General features: G+C 43.8%; 1 protein-coding gene across 17 annotated transcripts in view; it reads left to right on the top strand.

The window, feature by feature from the left end:
- The window catches only part of ZNF600 (zinc finger protein 600), a 69482-nt gene extending 56231 nt beyond the window's left edge, over nt 1-13251 (top strand). For 13 of the 17 annotated variants that reach the window (XM_047438291.1, XM_047438297.1, XM_047438294.1 and 10 more), the window contains 2 exons: nt 2714-2840; nt 9643-12252. In XM_047438291.1, the coding sequence (XP_047294247.1) occupies nt 2714-2840; nt 9643-11828 (2313 nt within the window). In that variant the 3' untranslated portion in view covers nt 11829-12252. Of the gene's footprint in view, nt 1-2713; nt 2841-9642 lie in introns of all 17 variants that reach the window. The other 4 variants (NM_001321867.3, NM_001321866.4, NM_198457.5 and 1 more) reach the window with 4 other exon arrangements.

Raw genomic sequence — 17026 nt, 5'->3', positions numbered from 1 at the left:
TGGGAGACAGCCAGCCCAGCTGGACTCTTTACTTTTTAGAGATGGAGTCTCGCTCCGTTGCCCAGGTTGGATTGCAGTGGTGGGATCTCAGCTCCCTGCCCCTCTGCCTTCTGGCTTCAAGCAATTCTTTTGCCTCAGCCTCCCGAGTATCTGGGATTACAGGCATTTGCTGCCTCGCCTGTTTAATTTTTTGTATTTTTAGTAGAGATGGGGTTTCACCGTATTGGTCAGGCTGGTCGAACTCCTGACCTTGTGATTCATCCACCTCAGCCTCCCATAGTGCTGGGATTACAGGCCTGAGCCACCACGCTTAGCCAAACTCTGCACTTTTAATGACTTGGGATGGAGTGGAAAGTGGAGATAGGCATCAGTGGTACAGGATGCTTTCTTACATCATTGATTTTACTTTATTTTTTAATTTGTTTTGAGTTGAGTCTCTGTTGTCCAGGCAGGAGTGCAGTGGGGTGATTTTGTTTCACTGTAGCCTCTGACTCCCAGATTACAGTGATTCTGTTGCCTCAGCCTCTCCAGTAGCTTGGATTAGAGGTGGGCCACCACGTGGGTAACGCCGTGATGTGATGTGTGTGCATGAATACATGGGTGGATAAGCCCATGGTTTATGTAGAAAACACAACATTTGCAATAAGTTATTTTTTATAATAATTGTAATGATTTTAAGTATTTTTCATTTGCAATAAGTTTTATTTTTTATAATAATTGTAATGATTTTAACTATTTTTCATTTGGAAGGCTGAGGCAGGTAGATCACGATGTCAGGAGTTCGAGACCAGCCTGGCTAAGATGGTGAAACCCTGTCTCTGCTAAATATACAAAAATTAGATGGACGCAGTGGCAGGTGCCTCAAATCCCAGCTCCTGGGGAGGCTGAGGCAAGAGAATTGCTTGAACCTGGGTGGCCGAGGTTGCAGTGAGCTGAGATTCTGCCACTGCACTCTAGCCTGTGCAATAGAGTGAGACTCCATCTCAAAAAAAAAAAAAGTAAGAAGTATTGGGAAGGATTATATGTATGCCTGTGTGTGTCCATTCAGCGACCTTGTAGGATGCTCCGTGTTCTTACCCTTGGACCTTTGTCACATTCTCTCCACTAGATAAACCCATGTCAGTTTAGTTTAAAGCTGTATCTGTTACTTCAGCGTTTATATTCAAATGTGAATCCCAGACATCTGGATTCAGTGCTTGTGTTGACATTTTTAGCTATTTGATTTGTGGTAATTTTCCTAGTATGTGTGATGCACTTGTCTCCAAGTACAGACCTTTCTTCATGGGACAGTATGTTATTTTATGGCTTAAGACATGGGAAGCACTTAGAACAGTGGGAAGCATTCAAAAATGTTAGTCATGGCTATTGCTGTCATCATAACAGTTTTTGGTTTTTGGTTTTTTTTTTTGGAGTCAGAGTATTGCTCTGTCACCCAGGCTGAAGTACAGTGGCATGATATTGGCACACTGCATCCTCCACCTCCCAGTTTCAAGCAATTCTCCAGCCTCAGCCTCCCGAGTATTGGGGATTACAGGCACCCACCATCACTCCCAGCTAATTTTTGTATTTTTAGTAGAGAAGGGGTTTCAGCATGTTCCCAAGCTGGTCTCAAACTCCTGACCTCGTGATCCACCTGCCTCGACCTCTCAAAGTACTGGAATTACAGGCATGAGCCACTGTGCCTGCGCAGTCATGACAGTTTTTAGATTCAGACTTTTCATTCAAAGCCGTTGGATTTTGTCCTCTCTGAAACACCACTTGTATCTTAGCTCATCTAGAGACTTAATATCACCTGGTATGTTGAACATAATATCTGACATGTCTGTAGAAAAAACCCTGTGTTTGTTTGTTTGTTTGTTTGTTTTTGAGATGGAGTCTTGCTCTGTTGCCAGGCTAAAGTGCAGTGGTGCGATCTTGGCTCACTGTAACCTCCACCTCTCGGATTCATGCGATCCTCCTGCCTCAGCCTCTTGAGTAGCTGGGAGTACAGGCCTGCACCACGACACCCAGCTAATTTTTGTATTTTTAGTAGAGACATGGTTTTGCCATGTTGACCAGGATGGTCTCAATCTCTTGACCACATTATCTGCCCGTCTTGGTCTCCCAAAGTGCTGGGATTACAGGTGACAGTCACTGCCCGGCATTGTTTTTTTGTTTTGTTTTGTTTTGTTTTTTGAGATGGAGTGTCAGTCTGTTGCCCAGGATGGAGTGCAGTGGTGCGATCTTGGCTCACTGTAGCCTCCATCTCCTGGGTTCAAGTGATTCTCCTGCCTCAGCCTCCTGTGTAGCTGGGATTACAGGTGCCTGCCACCATGCCTGACAAATTTTTATATTTTTAGTAGAGACAGGTTTTCACCATGTTGGCCAGGGTGGTCTCGAACTCTTGACATCAAATAATCTGCCCGCCTTGGCCTCCCGAAGTGTTAGGATTACAGGTGTGAACCACCATGCCTGGCCCTGTGTTTCCTTTTTATTTTTATACTTTTTATGTTGTCTATGAAATTGAGACTTCCATAGTGACTTATGGCATCTTAAAATCTTTCAAAGAAAAGTACAATAAAATGCAACTATAGGGAAAAAATATTCAAAATACCTTAACATTTTGTCAGAACACAGTCTTTGATCAAATACTTATTTTCTCTTTTCTCATTTCCCATGAAGGTGATAACTCAATCCTCCATAATGTTTTGTGGAAATGTGTGTTTCATTTTAGGGACGCTTGACTTTCAGGGATGTGGCTATAGAATTCTCATTGGCAGAGTGGAAATGCCTGAACCCTTCGCAGAGGGCTTTGTACAGGGAAGTGATGTTGGAGAACTACAGGAACCTGGAAGCTGTGGGTGAGGAAAATGATGTCCCCCAGACATGAGGAGTCTGCTCTTGTCTATCTTGGCCCTTCCTGGTTTTGTGTTCTCTTTTGTGATTTTGCCCCATGCATGGCTTTTTTTTTTTTTTTGGTTGTTTTTTTGTTTTGTTTTTTTGTTTGAGATGGATCTTCGCTCTTGTTACCCAGGCTGGAGAGCAATGGTATGATCTTGGCTCACCGCAACCTCTGCCTCCCAGGTTCAAGCAATTCTCCTGCCTCAGCCTCCTGGGTAGCTGGGATTACAGGCATGTGCCACCACACCCAGCTAATTTTGTATTTTCAGTAGAGACGGGGTTTCTCTATGTTGGTCAGACTCGTCTCTCACTCCTCACCTTACGTGATCCACCCACCTCGGCCTCCCAATGTGCTGGGATTACAGGCATGAGCCACAGCCCCTGGACCCATCCAAGTTTGTTTTTAAGGCTGAATAATATTCCATTGTATGTGTATACCACATTTTGTTCATATATTTATCTGTTGATGGACATCTGGGTTGGTTTCTTCTCTTTACTATTATAAATAATGCTGCCAGGCTGGGTGTAGTGGCACACGCCTGTAATCCCAGCACTTTGGAAGGCTGAGGTGGGTGAATCACCTGAGGTCAGGAGTTCAAGACCAGCCTGGCCAACATGGTGAAACCACATTTCTATTAAAGTTATAGTTTCTTCTTTTTTTTTTTAGATGGAGTATTGCTCTGTCACACAGGCTGGAGTGCAGTGGTGCAATCTCAGCTCACTGCAACCTCCACCTCCCAGGTTCAAGCAATCTCCTACCTCAGCCTTCTGAGTAGCTGGGATTACAGACATGCACCACCATGCCGGGCTAATATTTTATATTTTTTCAGTAGAGACAGTGTTTCACCATGCTGGCCTGGCTGGTCTCGAACTCCTGACCTTGTGATCCACCCATCCATCCTCCTAATGAGCTGAGATTACAGACGTGAGCCACTGCACTCAGCCTGGCTCTGTTTTCACAAACACATCTCTACCTACTCAGCCAGGGCATCCTTCTTCAACCCCATGGTCTCCTACATTGCTCTACTGTACTCTTCATAGGGTTTACTTATTTTTTTGTGTGTACACATTTCTGGAATCTACACAGGGGATTATTGTTGAGTATATGCTTGAAACTAGAAATCAGAGGCATTTAATTTAAGAGATGTAAAATTGCTTTCACCTCAGGCCACCATACTGCTGCTTTTTTGGATCTCTTTCATTCTTGTCCCTTGCCCATATTGTAATTTGAATATTTAACCTTGGGTCAATATTTTACCATTTGCTAAATTAGTTCCACTTTCTTCCAAGCTCAAGATTTGGTCTATCCTAGTGGAATTATATTCCCACAGACATGCATGCACAAAGTTCACTCCTACATGCCCATTACTTCCTGCTCTCCACCCTTGCCCTTCCTTTCCTGGCCTTGCCTCACATGATACATTGATCTGGATGCAAATACCAGCCTATTGACTTTGTAATAGTGAACACCCCAATTTCCCCGTGAGCCCCTCCCCTCCAACACTACTCTCACTGAGTAAGTCAAGACCTTGTTCATCCACTGGACAAAATTATAGGAGGCCGCTTAAATCAGTGTGTGCAGGGCATCATGACTCAGCACATGATCCATGAGGGATGGCTTCAGAACCACTGTCAGCAGCGCAGCTCAGCGCTTGTGTCCCAGCTCAGTCCTTGTATCCCCCTTGATGTACTTCTATCTGTTCTCCTTGTATTTTCTGTGTCTGGTCATTTCCTGTCCTGCCTGGGCTGACTATTGTGCCTAAGAACATGTCATGGGATCCTTCATGCCCAGGATCAAGTCTTGTCCCTCACTTACCGTACGTGCAAACTGGGGTCATGTCCATGAACACCGCGGGCCTGCTTTTGTTATTTGAGAAATAATGTTAATTTGCCTCCAGGGTTGGTTTTTGGTTTTTGTTTGTTTGTTTTTTGAGATGGAGTTTTGCTCCTGTTGCCCAGGCTTAAGTGCAATGGCACAATCTCAGTTCACCACAACCTCCACCTCCCGGGTTCAAGGGATTCTCCTTCTGCAGCCTCCCAAGTAGCTGGGATTACAGGCATGCACCACCACGCCTGGCTAATTTTTGTATTTTTAGTAGAGATGGGGTTTCACCATGTTGGCCAGGCTGGTCTCGAACTCCTGACCTCAAGTGATGTACCTGCCTGAGCCTCCCAAAGAGCTAGGATTACAGGCCTGAGCCACTGTGTCTGGCCTTTTTTGTTTTTTAAATGGAGTTTCCCTCTTCTTGCCCAGGCTGGAGTACATTGGTTCAATCTCAGCTCACCGCAACCTCCACTTCCTGGGTTCAAGTGATTGTCCAGCCTCAGGGTCCCAAGTAGCTGGGATTATGCCTGGTGCAAGTCTGGCTAATTTTTGTAATTTTAGTAGACATGGGGTTTCTCCATATTGGTCAGGCTGGTCTCAAACTCCCAACCTCAGGTGATTCGTCCACCTGCTTTTTAAAACAAGTGAATACTATTAGATGGCTTCATATAAGTTTTATAGTACACACTCAACTTCCTTTGTTTAATAAGATTTGTCAGCCTTCAGTGATGTTGATGATGAGATGCCTCTTTTCCTATCTCACTCTTTTCACTGTTCTGTCAGAAATAGCTTAGACTGGCCAGCCGCAGTGGCTTAGGCCTCTAATTCCAGCACTTTGAAAGGCTGAGGTGGGTAGATGGCTTGAGGTCAGGAGTTTGAGAGCAGTCGGGCAAACATAATGAAACCTTGAATCTACTAAATTAAAAAAAATTGGACGGGCGTGATGGCTCACGACTATAATCCCAAAAATTTGGGAGGCAAAGACGGGTGGATCACCTCAGGTCAGAATTTCAAGACCAGCCTGGCCAACATGGTGAAACCCCATCTCTGGTAAAAATACAAAAATTAGCTGGGTGTGTTGGTATACACCTGTAATCCCAGCTTCTTGTGAGGCTGAGACCTATAGGAGAATCATTTGAACCTGGGAGATGGATGTTGCAGTGAGCCATGATTGCGCCACTGCACTCCAGCCCGGGTGACAGAGTGAGACTCTGTTTCCAAAAAAAAAATTAGCCAGGCATGGTGGCATGTATCTGTAGTGCCAGCTACTCAAGAGGCTGAGGCATGAGAATCTCTTTAGGTAGGAGAGTCGTGCCACTGCACTCCAGCCTGGGTGATGAAGCATGACAGACAAAAAAAAAGAAATAGCTGAAACTTGAAAGCTTAAGACATAGAAATTTATTTCTCATGAATCTGGAAAATGGGAAATCCAAGAACAAGATGTCAGCTAGATTGGCTCCTGGTGAGAGCCTTCTTCGTGGTTTAGCCCAGCCACCTTCCTGCAGTGTCCTGACATGGGGGAAAGAGGAGCAGGCAATGAGCTCTTTACTGTCTCTTTTTATAAAAACAGTAGTCCTGGCCAGTCGTGGTGGCTTACACCTGTAATCCCAGCACTTTGGGAGGCTAAGACGGCCAAATCACATGAGGTCGGGAGATTGAAACGAGCCTGACCAACATGGAGAAACCATGTCTCTACTAAAAATACAAAATGAGCCAGGCATGATTGCACATGCCTGTAATCCCAGCTACTCGGGTGGCTGAGGCAGGAGAATCGCTTGAACCTGGGAGGTAGAGACTGTGGTGAACCTAGATCATGCTATTGCACTCCAGCCTGGGCAACAAGAGCGAAACTCTGTCTCAAAAGTAGATAAAGAAAGAAAAAATACAATTAAAAGCCCTAGTCCTATTCACAATTAGTCAACACCCATGACCAAATTCTCTAAAAGACCCCAACTGCAGGAACATCCTTATTGGAGAATAAGAAATCTGATAATGACTTTTAGCCAAGGTGAACATTCGGGCCAGGGAACATACATCATATTTTTTGTTCTTATTGTGCAATTTGTTTTATACAATATTTTCTCTGATCTGTTTATAAATTTTCCCAGTACACATTCTATGTTTTATATCTTACGCATAGTGAACTAGATAACTATGGGGAATGCACAAATGTAAAATTGCTGTATTGCCTGGCTGTTACATAAGTGTAGTTGTGACATCATAATTGTACTTTTCTACACTATTAGTCAATTATTTATTTATTTATTTGAGATGGAGTCTAGCCCTGTCAACCAGGCTGGAGTGCAATGGCACAATCTCGGCTCACTGTAACCTTTGCCTCCTGGGTTCAAATGATTCTTTTGCTTCAGCCTCCAGAGTAGCTGAGATTACAGGTGTCTGCCACCATACCCAGCTGTTTTTTTTGTATTCTTAGTAGAGATGGGGTTTCCCCATGTTGGCCAGGCTGTTCTCGAACTCCTGACCTCGTGCTCCACATGTCTCCACCTCCCAAAGTACTGGGATTACAGGTGTCAGCCACCGTTACCAGCCATTAGTCAATTCTTATTTCTTAAAATGCTGTGTATTTTCTTGACCTCATACATGAGAAGGTAGTGATCTTAACATGTATTTCAGTTCTTATATTGTGTGCTGGTGGTTAAGTAGATGTTGTGGCTTTTTTCTTAAGAGGGAATTGTTTAGAATTCTGCAGGCTGTATAAATGTACTTACTTGCTTGCTGGTTTTATCATGGGTTACAATATTTTATTAATTAATTTTTATAATTTTGCATATGGCTTTTCGGTATGTGGTATGCAATATAACTGCCACACTCCACTCATTAATGTCACAAAGTGCCACCAGGTACAGTGGCTCACACCTGTAATCCCAGAACTTTGGGAGGCTGAGGCGGGAAGATTACTTGAGGTCAGGAGTTTGAGACCAGCCTGGTCAACCTGGTGAAACCCCATCTCTGTAGGGACCAGCCCCACAGGGTCGGTGGGTTTTGCTCTCTCTATGCGGAGATGAGAGACTGTAGAAATAAATACACAAGACAAAGAGATAAAAGAAAAGACAGCTGGGCCCGGGGGACCACTGCCAGCAAGATGCAGAGATGGGTAGTGGCCCTGAATGCCAGGCTGCGCTGATATTTATTGGATACAAGACAAAGGGGCAGGGTAAGGAGTGTGAGCCATCTCCAGTGATAGGTAAGGTCACGTGGGTCACCTGTCCACTAGACAGGGGGCCCTTCCCTTCCTGGCAGCCGAGGCAGAGAGAGGGAGAGAGAGAGATAGCTTGCGCCATTATTTCTGCATATCAGACACTTTTAGTACTTTCACTCATTTTGCTACTGTTATCTAGAAGGCAGAGCCAGGTGTACAGGACGGAACACGAAGGTGGACTAGGAGCGTGACCACTGAAGCACAGCATCACAGGGAGACGGTTAGGCCTCCGGATAACTGCAGGTGGGCCTGACTGATGTCAGGCCCTCCGCAAGAGGTGGTGGAGGAGAGTGTTCTCTAAACTCCCCCGGGGAAAGGGAGACTCCCTTTCCCGGTCTGCTAAGTGGCGGGTGTTGTTCCTTGGCACTGATGCTACCACTAGACCATGGTCCGCTTGGCAACGGGCATCTTCCCAGACGCTGGCATCACTGCCAGACCAAGGAGTCCTCTGGTGGCCCTGTCTGGGCATAACAGAAGGCTCGCACTCTTGTCTTCTGGTCACTTCTCACTGTGTCCCCTCAGCTCCTATCTCTGTATGGCCTGGCTTTTCTTAGGTTATGATTATAGAGCGAGGATTATTATAATATTGGAATAAAGAGTAATTGCTACCAACTAATGATTAATGACATTCATATATAATCATGTCTATGATCTAGATCTAGTATAACTCTTGTTATTTTATATATTTTATTATATTGGAACAGCTTGTGCCCTCGAACTCTTGCCTTGGCACCTAGTTGGCTTGCTGCCCACACATCTCTACTAAAAACACAAAAATTACCCAGGCATAGTTGTGCATGCCTGTAACCCCAGGTACTCAGGAGGATGAGGCAGGAGGATCACTTCAACCCAGGAGGCAGAGGTTGCAGTGAGCTGAGATCATGCCATGGCACTCCAAGCTGGAGTGCAAGACTCCATCTCAAAAAAATAAAAATACAAAAATTTTTTGAAAAGTCATTAAGTGCCTGTCCTGTGTGGATATAGGTAATTTTATGACATTTATTGAGAAAAATATTGAATTAACTTTTTTTTTGCTTTTTTTTTTTTTTTGAGGTGGAGTCTCACTTTGTCACCCAGGCTGGAGTGCAGAGGTGCAATCTTGCCTCACCGCAACCTCTGCCTCCCAGGTTCAGGTGATTCTTATGCCTCAGCCTCCCAAGTTGCTGTGACTGTCAGGCACGGGCCAGCACACCTGGTTAATTTTTGTAATCTTCTCTTCTCGGTGCTATAATTGTTTGAAAATACAGAATTTCCATTGATTTTGGTTATCCTTACATGAGTTTGTGGATTATTTACCAATATAGTATATTGTGTGGGTTTCTTTGTTTTTTTTTTAGCATTTGTACACAGTAAATATGGTTTAAATATGAAAAATATATATTTTTCTCTTCATTGATGTGACAGTGATATGTTTTTTGCAAATTGTGATACACTTTAGGGTCACAGTGGAAAAATACTCCTTACCTTAGGCTTACACGTTTGTGCCCTGTCAGTGTTTTGTGATGACATAGGAAATAGACTTTCATAGAATTGATTTGAAGGACATGTAATTGCCCCTTGTTTATTAAAGAATCTTACTCCTTTTGTGTTCCTAAACTTTGAAGATGATATTTGGGAAGTTCAAAATAAGTATTGTTTTTTGTGTCATATTTACACACTTCAGTATGATTTACCATCTGTACTTAATTGGAAACCTATTGTTGTTTATATTTTGTAGATATCTCTTCCAAACGCATGATGAAGGAGGTCTTGTCAACAGGGCAAGGCAATACAGAAGTGATCCACACAGGGACATTGCAAAGATATCAAAGTTATCACATTGGAGATTTTTGCTTCCAGGAAATTGAGAAAGAAATTCATGATATTGAGTTTCAGTGTCAAGAAGATGAAAGAAATGGCCATGAAGCACCCATGACAAAAATAAAAAAGTTGACTGGTAGCACAGACCAACATGATCACAGGCATGCTGGAAACAAGCCTATTAAAGATCAGCTTGGATCAAGCTTTTATTCACATCTGCCTGAACTCCACATAATTCAGATCAAAGGTAAAATTGGTAATCAATTTGAGAAGTCTACCAGTGATGCTCCCTCGGTTTCAACATCCCAAAGAATTTCTCCTAGGCCCCAAATCCATATTTCTAATAACTATGGGAATAATTCCCCGAATTCTTCACTACTCCCACAAAAACAGGAAGTATACATGAGAGAAAAATCTTTCCAATGTAATGAGAGTGGCAAAGCCTTTAATTGTAGCTCACTCTTAAGGAAACACCAGATACCCCATTTAGGAGACAAACAATATAAATGTGATGTATGTGGCAAGCTCTTTAATCACAAGCAATACCTTACATGCCATTGTAGATGTCACACTGGAGAGAAACCTTACAAGTGTAATGAGTGTGGAAAGTCCTTCAGTCAGGTATCATCCCTTACATGCCATCGTAGACTTCACACTGCAGTAAAATCTCACAAGTGTAATGAGTGTGGCAAGATCTTTGGTCAAAATTCAGCCCTTGTAATTCATAAGGCAATTCATACTGGAGAAAAACCTTACAAGTGTAATGAATGTGACAAAGCTTTTAATCAGCAATCAAACCTTGCACGTCATCGTAGAATTCATACTGGAGAGAAACCTTACAAATGTGAAGAATGTGACAAAGTTTTCAGTCGGAAATCAACCCTTGAGTCACATAAGAGAATTCATACTGGAGAGAAACCATACAAATGTAAGGTTTGTGACACAGCTTTCACATGGAATTCTCAGCTGGCAAGACATAAAAGAATTCACACTGGAGAGAAAACTTACAAGTGTAATGAGTGTGGCAAGACCTTCAGTCACAAGTCATCCCTTGTATGCCATCATAGACTTCATGGTGGAGAGAAATCTTACAAATGTAAGGTCTGTGACAAGGCTTTTGCGTGGAATTCACACCTGGTAAGACATACTAGAATTCATAGTGGAGGAAAACCTTACAAGTGTAATGAATGTGGGAAGACCTTTGGTCAAAATTCAGATCTTCTAATTCATAAGTCAATTCATACTGGAGAGCAACCTTACAAATATGAAGAATGTGAAAAGGTTTTCAGTTGTGGATCAACCCTTGAGACACATAAGATAATTCACACCGGAGAGAAACCATACAAATGTAAGGTTTGTGACAAGGCTTTTGCGTGTCATTCCTATCTGGCAAAACATACTAGAATTCATAGTGGAGAGAAACCTTACAAGTGTAATGAGTGCAGCAAGACCTTCCGTCTGAGGTCATACCTTGCAAGCCATCGCAGAGTTCATAGTGGTGAGAAACCTTACAAGTGTAATGAGTGCAGCAAGACCTTCAGTCAGAGGTCATACCTTCATTGCCATCGTAGACTTCATAGTGGTGAGAAACCTTACAAGTGTAATGAGTGTGGCAAGACCTTCAGTCACAAGCCATCCCTTGTTCACCATCGTAGACTTCATACTGGAGAGAAATCTTACAAATGTACGGTTTGTGACAAGGCTTTCGTGCGTAATTCATACCTGGCAAGACATACCAGAATTCACACTGCAGAGAAACCTTACAAGTGTAATGAATGTGGGAAGGCTTTTAATCAACAATCACAACTTTCACTTCATCATAGAATTCATGCTGGGGAGAAACTTTACAAATGTGAAACATGTGACAAAGTTTTCAGTCGCAAATCACACCTTAAAAGACATAGGAGAATTCATCCTGGAAAGAAACCATACAAATGTAAGGTTTGTGACAAGACTTTTGGGAGTGATTCACACCTGAAACAACATACTGGACTTCACACTGGAGAGAAACCTTACAAGTGTAATGAGTGTGGCAAAGCCTTTAGCAAGCAGTCAACACTTATTCACCATCAGGCAGTTCATGGTGTAGGGAAACTTGACTAATGTAATGATTGTCACAAAGTCTTCAGTAACGCTACAACCATTGCAAATCATTGGAGAATCTATAATGAATAAAGATCTAACAAGTGTAATAAATGTGGCAAATTTTTCAGACATCATTCATACATTGCAGTTCATTGACACACTCATACTGGAGAGAAACCTTACAAATGTCATGACTGTGGCAAGGTCTTCAGTCAAGCTTCATCCTATGCAAAACATAGGAGAATTCATACAGGAGAGAAACCTCACATGTGTGATGATTGTGGCAAAGCCTTTACTTCATGTTCACACCTCATTAGACATCAGAGAATCCCTACTGGACAGAAATCTTACAAATGTCAGAAGTGTGGCAAGGTCTTGAGTCCGAGGTCACTCCTTGCAGAACATCAGAAAATTCATTTTTGAGATAACTGTTCCCAATGCAGTGAGTATAGCAAACCATCAAGCATTAATTGACACTAGAGTCAGTCCAGCATTGACTTGAGTTTGTGTTGACTTAACATTGAGTTCAACCCTTAATTGACATTCAAGTGTTTATGTTAAGAGGATTGGGCCAGGTGTGGTTTCTCACACCTGTAATTCCAGCACGGTTGGAGGCCAAGGCACATAGGTCACTTGAGGTCAGAAGTTTGAAACCAGCATGGCCAACAGATGTCAGCCACTTTTCCCAGCCTGTTTTTTGATTCTTATTTTCTATTTTTCTTTTTTGAGATAGTACTTTTTAAAGAGATAGTACTTTTTTGATATAGTACTTTATAAAAGGGAGATCAGGCCAGGCACGGAGGCTCATGTAAGTAATCCCAGCACTTTGGGAGGCCGAGACGGGCCCATGACAAGGTCAGGAGATCGAGACCGTCCTGGCTAACACGGTGAAACCCCATCTCTACTAAAAATATAAAATATTAGCCAGGCGTGGTGGCAGGTGCCTGTAGTCCTAGCTGCTTGGGAGGCTGAGGCAGGAGAATGGTGTGAATCCTGGAGACGGAGCTTGCAGGGAGCCAACATCGTGCCACTGCACTCCGGCCTGGGCGACAGTGAGAATCTGTCTCAAAAAAAAAAAAAAAAAAAGGATATCAAAGCTGGATGGTGGCTCATCCCTGCAATCACAACACTTTGGTAGACTGATGTGAGTGGATCACCTAAGGTCAGAAGTTCAAGAGCACCCTGGCTAACATGGTGAAACCCCATCTCTACTAAAAATACAAAAGTTAGCCGGGGGGTGGTGGTGTGCACCTTTAGTTCCAGCTACTTGAGAGGCTGAGGCACAAGAGTCGCTTAAACCTGGGAGGTAGAGGTTGCCGTGAGGCAAAATCGTGCCACTGCCCTCAGCCTGGGCAGTAGAGTCAGTCTCCATCTCAAAGAAACCAGCAAACAAAAAATATTAAAAAAAAACATTAAAAATGCTTTTGTTCTCATTGTTCAATAGACTTCCTTTTTTTTCCTTTCTGATTCCTCTTCATTTCTCTCTTTTTTTTTTTTTTGCAGTTTGAGTTTGAGATAAATCTTAGTTTTAAAAATTGTATTTCTTTCATAGTATATAATCACATCTGAAAGATGCCTTTGCAGCATCGTATAGTCAGCTCACATCATTCATTTCTGTACTTGTATATTCTCCTGTTCTTTTCCAGTTGACCCCAGAATTCATTAGATTAAAAAAAATAGTTGCTGTTTGAAATTAGTTGCATCCAGTTCAGATCGAAGTCTGCATGCTTTCTGGTCTTTGTTATTTATTGGAAGCGTTTCATACCCAATACTTAAGTTTGATTGTTTCAGTGTGTACTTGGTATAGATGTCAGTGACCTTTTAACTAAACATCAAAATGTAGTTTAACCAGTTAGTCTGTTTTTCAGTTTTCTTTCCTTATGTCATTTGTTAAAATCTTGAGCTGGGAGCTATTTATTGCGTGTTTCCCTCAAGGCCCTCTGGTCCATTCTGGAAAAATGTTGAAACATGGGCTGGATTGGCATGGAACTCTCCTCCAAAAGCACCCATGTATTCTTTTTCTTTTTTTTTCCTGAAATGGAGTCTTGCTCTGTCGCCTTGGATGGAGGGCAGTGGTGTGATCTCAGCTTACTGCAACCTCTGCCTCCCGGGATCAAGTGATTCTCCTGCCTCAGTCTCCTGAGTAGCTAGAATTACAGGCACCCACCAACATGCCTGGCTAATTTTTGTATTTTTAGTAGAGACAGGGTTTCACCATGTTTGTCAGGCTGGTCTCTAACTCTTGACCTTGTGATCCGCCCGACTCGGCCTCCCAATGTGCTGTGATTACAGACATGAGCCACCCCGCCTGGCCTCTGTTTTTTTTTTCTTTTTCTTTTTCTTTTTTGAGATGGAGTTTTGCTCTTGTTGCTCAGGCTGGACTGCAATGGTGCGATCTCGTGTCACTACAGCATCTGCCTCCCGGGTTCAAGCGATTCTCCTGCCTCAGCCTACCAAGTAAGTAGTTGGGATTACAGGTGCCTTCCACCACTCCTGGCTAATTTTTTGCATTTTTAGTAGAGACAGGGTTTCACCATGTTGACCAGACTGGTCTCGAACTCCTGACTTCAGGTGATCTGCCCACCTCGACCTCCCAAAAGTGCTAGGATTACAGGCGTGAGCCACCATGCCTGACCACTCATGTATTCTTGATTGAAACAATTTGCTTATTTCTTAGTGCTACAGTTGACCTTCTTTCCCTGTTTTCAAGGTCAATAGCTGTGTGTTCACACTTCTGCATTTTATAAATATTCCTGTGATTTTCCTGTAAGGAAGAATTAACTGTCAGGAATCAATGGCATCAGAACCTTGCAAAAGAAGTTTCTTTAGCCCAGGTTTGTGAAAGAGGCTTCTCTAATTTTCCAGGATGAGGATGATAAGACCAACCCTTCCTATTAGCCCCTCCAGGCCCCCATGTAAGAATTCAGGCACACCTTCTCACTCCTCTCAGACATTCGTAGGGTAACTTGGTGAAAATGTCTTCCGATCTGAGCCCCAGTGAGCCTCCCTGCAACTTGGCGACGAGGGACTAGACCAGAAAAGCTCAACCCGAGTGACCCTGGCCCCTGAAATGATTGGCAAAATGGAGTGCGTGTCTGGGTGTGGCTTTTTTTTTTTTATTTTTTTGAGGAGAGGAGTGCCCAGTTGTGATTAGAATTTTCAATGGGATGCAGTGCCCTCAAAATAAAAAACAAAAGCAGAAGAATGGAAGAAACAGAGGTAGACTCAGACACAGAGACCATCTTCGGGGCCTTTCTCTGTATGAGGATATCACAGCGAAATCTAAAGCAGGTCACGTCAATCCCTGGCAGGGAACCCTCCACCGGCTTCCCGTGTTCCCCAGGACAAAAGCCCAACCCCTCACTGTGGCTCCACAGCCCTGTGTCCAGGGCCCCTGCCAGTGTCCAGCCTCCTCCTGGGAGCTTGCCCTCATCTCATGAATCCCTTTGCCCCAGTCACATTTGCTTTTCTCTTTTCCCAAACATCAAAACCCTGTCATTGTCCCTGCTCTTACCCTATGTACCCTGTCCATTTCTCCTCCAGATCTAGGCTCAGAGCTGTCTCCCATGCCCTCCCACCCCCGTCTGAAGTTCCCTCTGCCCATCAGTCTGCATCATGTTACTCAGGTTTTATTATCTCTGCATCAATCACATCAGAAATGCGCTTTTTTTTTTTTTTTTTTTTCCTGAGACTGAGTCACTCTATCGTCCAGGCTGTGAGCGCAGTCTCGTGATCTTGGATCACTGCAACCTCTGTCTCCTAGGTTCAAGCAATTCTTGTGCCTCAGCCTCCGAAGTAGCTGAGATTACAGGTGTCTGCCACCACACCTGGCTAATTTTTGTATTTTTACTTTTATTTTCTTTTATTTTTGAGTCTTTGTCTGTCACCAAGACTGGACTGTAGTGGCACAATCTCGGCTCACTGCAACCTCCACCTCCCGGGTTCAAGCGATTCTCCTACCTCTGTCTCCCAAGTAGTGAGGATTACAGACACTTACCAAGCCCGGCTACTTTTTGTGTATTTAGTAGAGACAGGGTTTCACCATGTTGGCCAGGCTGGTCTCGATCTCCTGACCTCAAGTAATCAGCACACCTCGGCCTTCCAGAGTGCTAGGATTACCGGATGACCCACACGCCCGGCCCATTTTTGTATTTTTAGTAGATACAGGGTTTCACCATGTTGGCCAGGCTGCTCTCAAACTCCTCAGGTCAAGTGATCCTCCCACCTCAGCCTTCTAAGTAGCTGGGACCACAGACACACAGACATGCACCACCATACCTGGCTAAGTTTTGTATTTTTGGTAGAGATGGGGTTTCACCATGTTGCCCAGGCTGGTCTCAAACTCCTGAGCTCAAGTGATCTACCCGCCTTGGCCTCCGAGAGTGCTGGGATGACAGGCATGAGCCACCGCACCCAGCCTCTGCGTGGGGTTCGGTCAGGGCTGGGTCTGTGCCCTGAAGGGGAGCTCATTCCAGCCCAGCTCCCCACTGCTGCAGCTTGTGTGTGGACTCCTCCAGAAGGGGAGCGGGAGTTTCCCTGTAGGAGTTTATCATCCATGGTTAGGAGGGCAGAAGGGGGGACTATTTCCTCAGGGTGAGGTCTTTAGTTAGGCCTCTGAGCCCAAGCTAAGCCATCATATCCCCTGTGACCTGCACGTATATATCCAGATGGCCTGAAGCAACTGAAGATCCACAAAAGAAGTGAAAATGGCCTTAACTGATGACATTCCACCATTGTGATTTGTTTCTGCCCCACCCTGACTGATCAAAGTACTTTGTAATCTCCCTCACTCTTAAAAAGGTTCTTTGTAATCTCCCCCACCCTTCAGAAGGTTCTTTGTAATTCTCCCCACCCTTGAGAATGTACTTGGTGAGATCCACCCCCTGCCCGCAAAACATTGCTCCTAACTCCACCGCCTGTCCCAAAACCTATGAGAACTAATGATAATCCCACCACACTTTGCTGACTCTCTTTCCAGACTCAGCCCGGCTGCACCCAGGTGAAATAAACAGCCTCATTATTTAAACAAATTGTGTTTGGCGGTCTCTTCACACGGACGTGCATTACACTTTGTGTGATTGTGTTACAGGGAGGGCATGTGTTGATTCTGAGCAATAAATAACATATTTTTAACATTCAGGATTGACTTCTAAAGACTTTTGGTACGTGAGGAAGAAACCCAGAAGAGGAAGAGGAAAGCAAAGGAGTCAGGGATG

Source organism: Homo sapiens, chromosome 19 (genome assembly GCF_000001405.40).
Source record: "Homo sapiens chromosome 19, GRCh38.p14 Primary Assembly".
Taxonomy (NCBI): domain Eukaryota; kingdom Metazoa; phylum Chordata; class Mammalia; order Primates; family Hominidae; genus Homo; species Homo sapiens.
The sequence above is the reverse complement of the archived record's forward strand: the minus strand, read 5'-3'. Positions and strand labels throughout refer to the sequence as shown.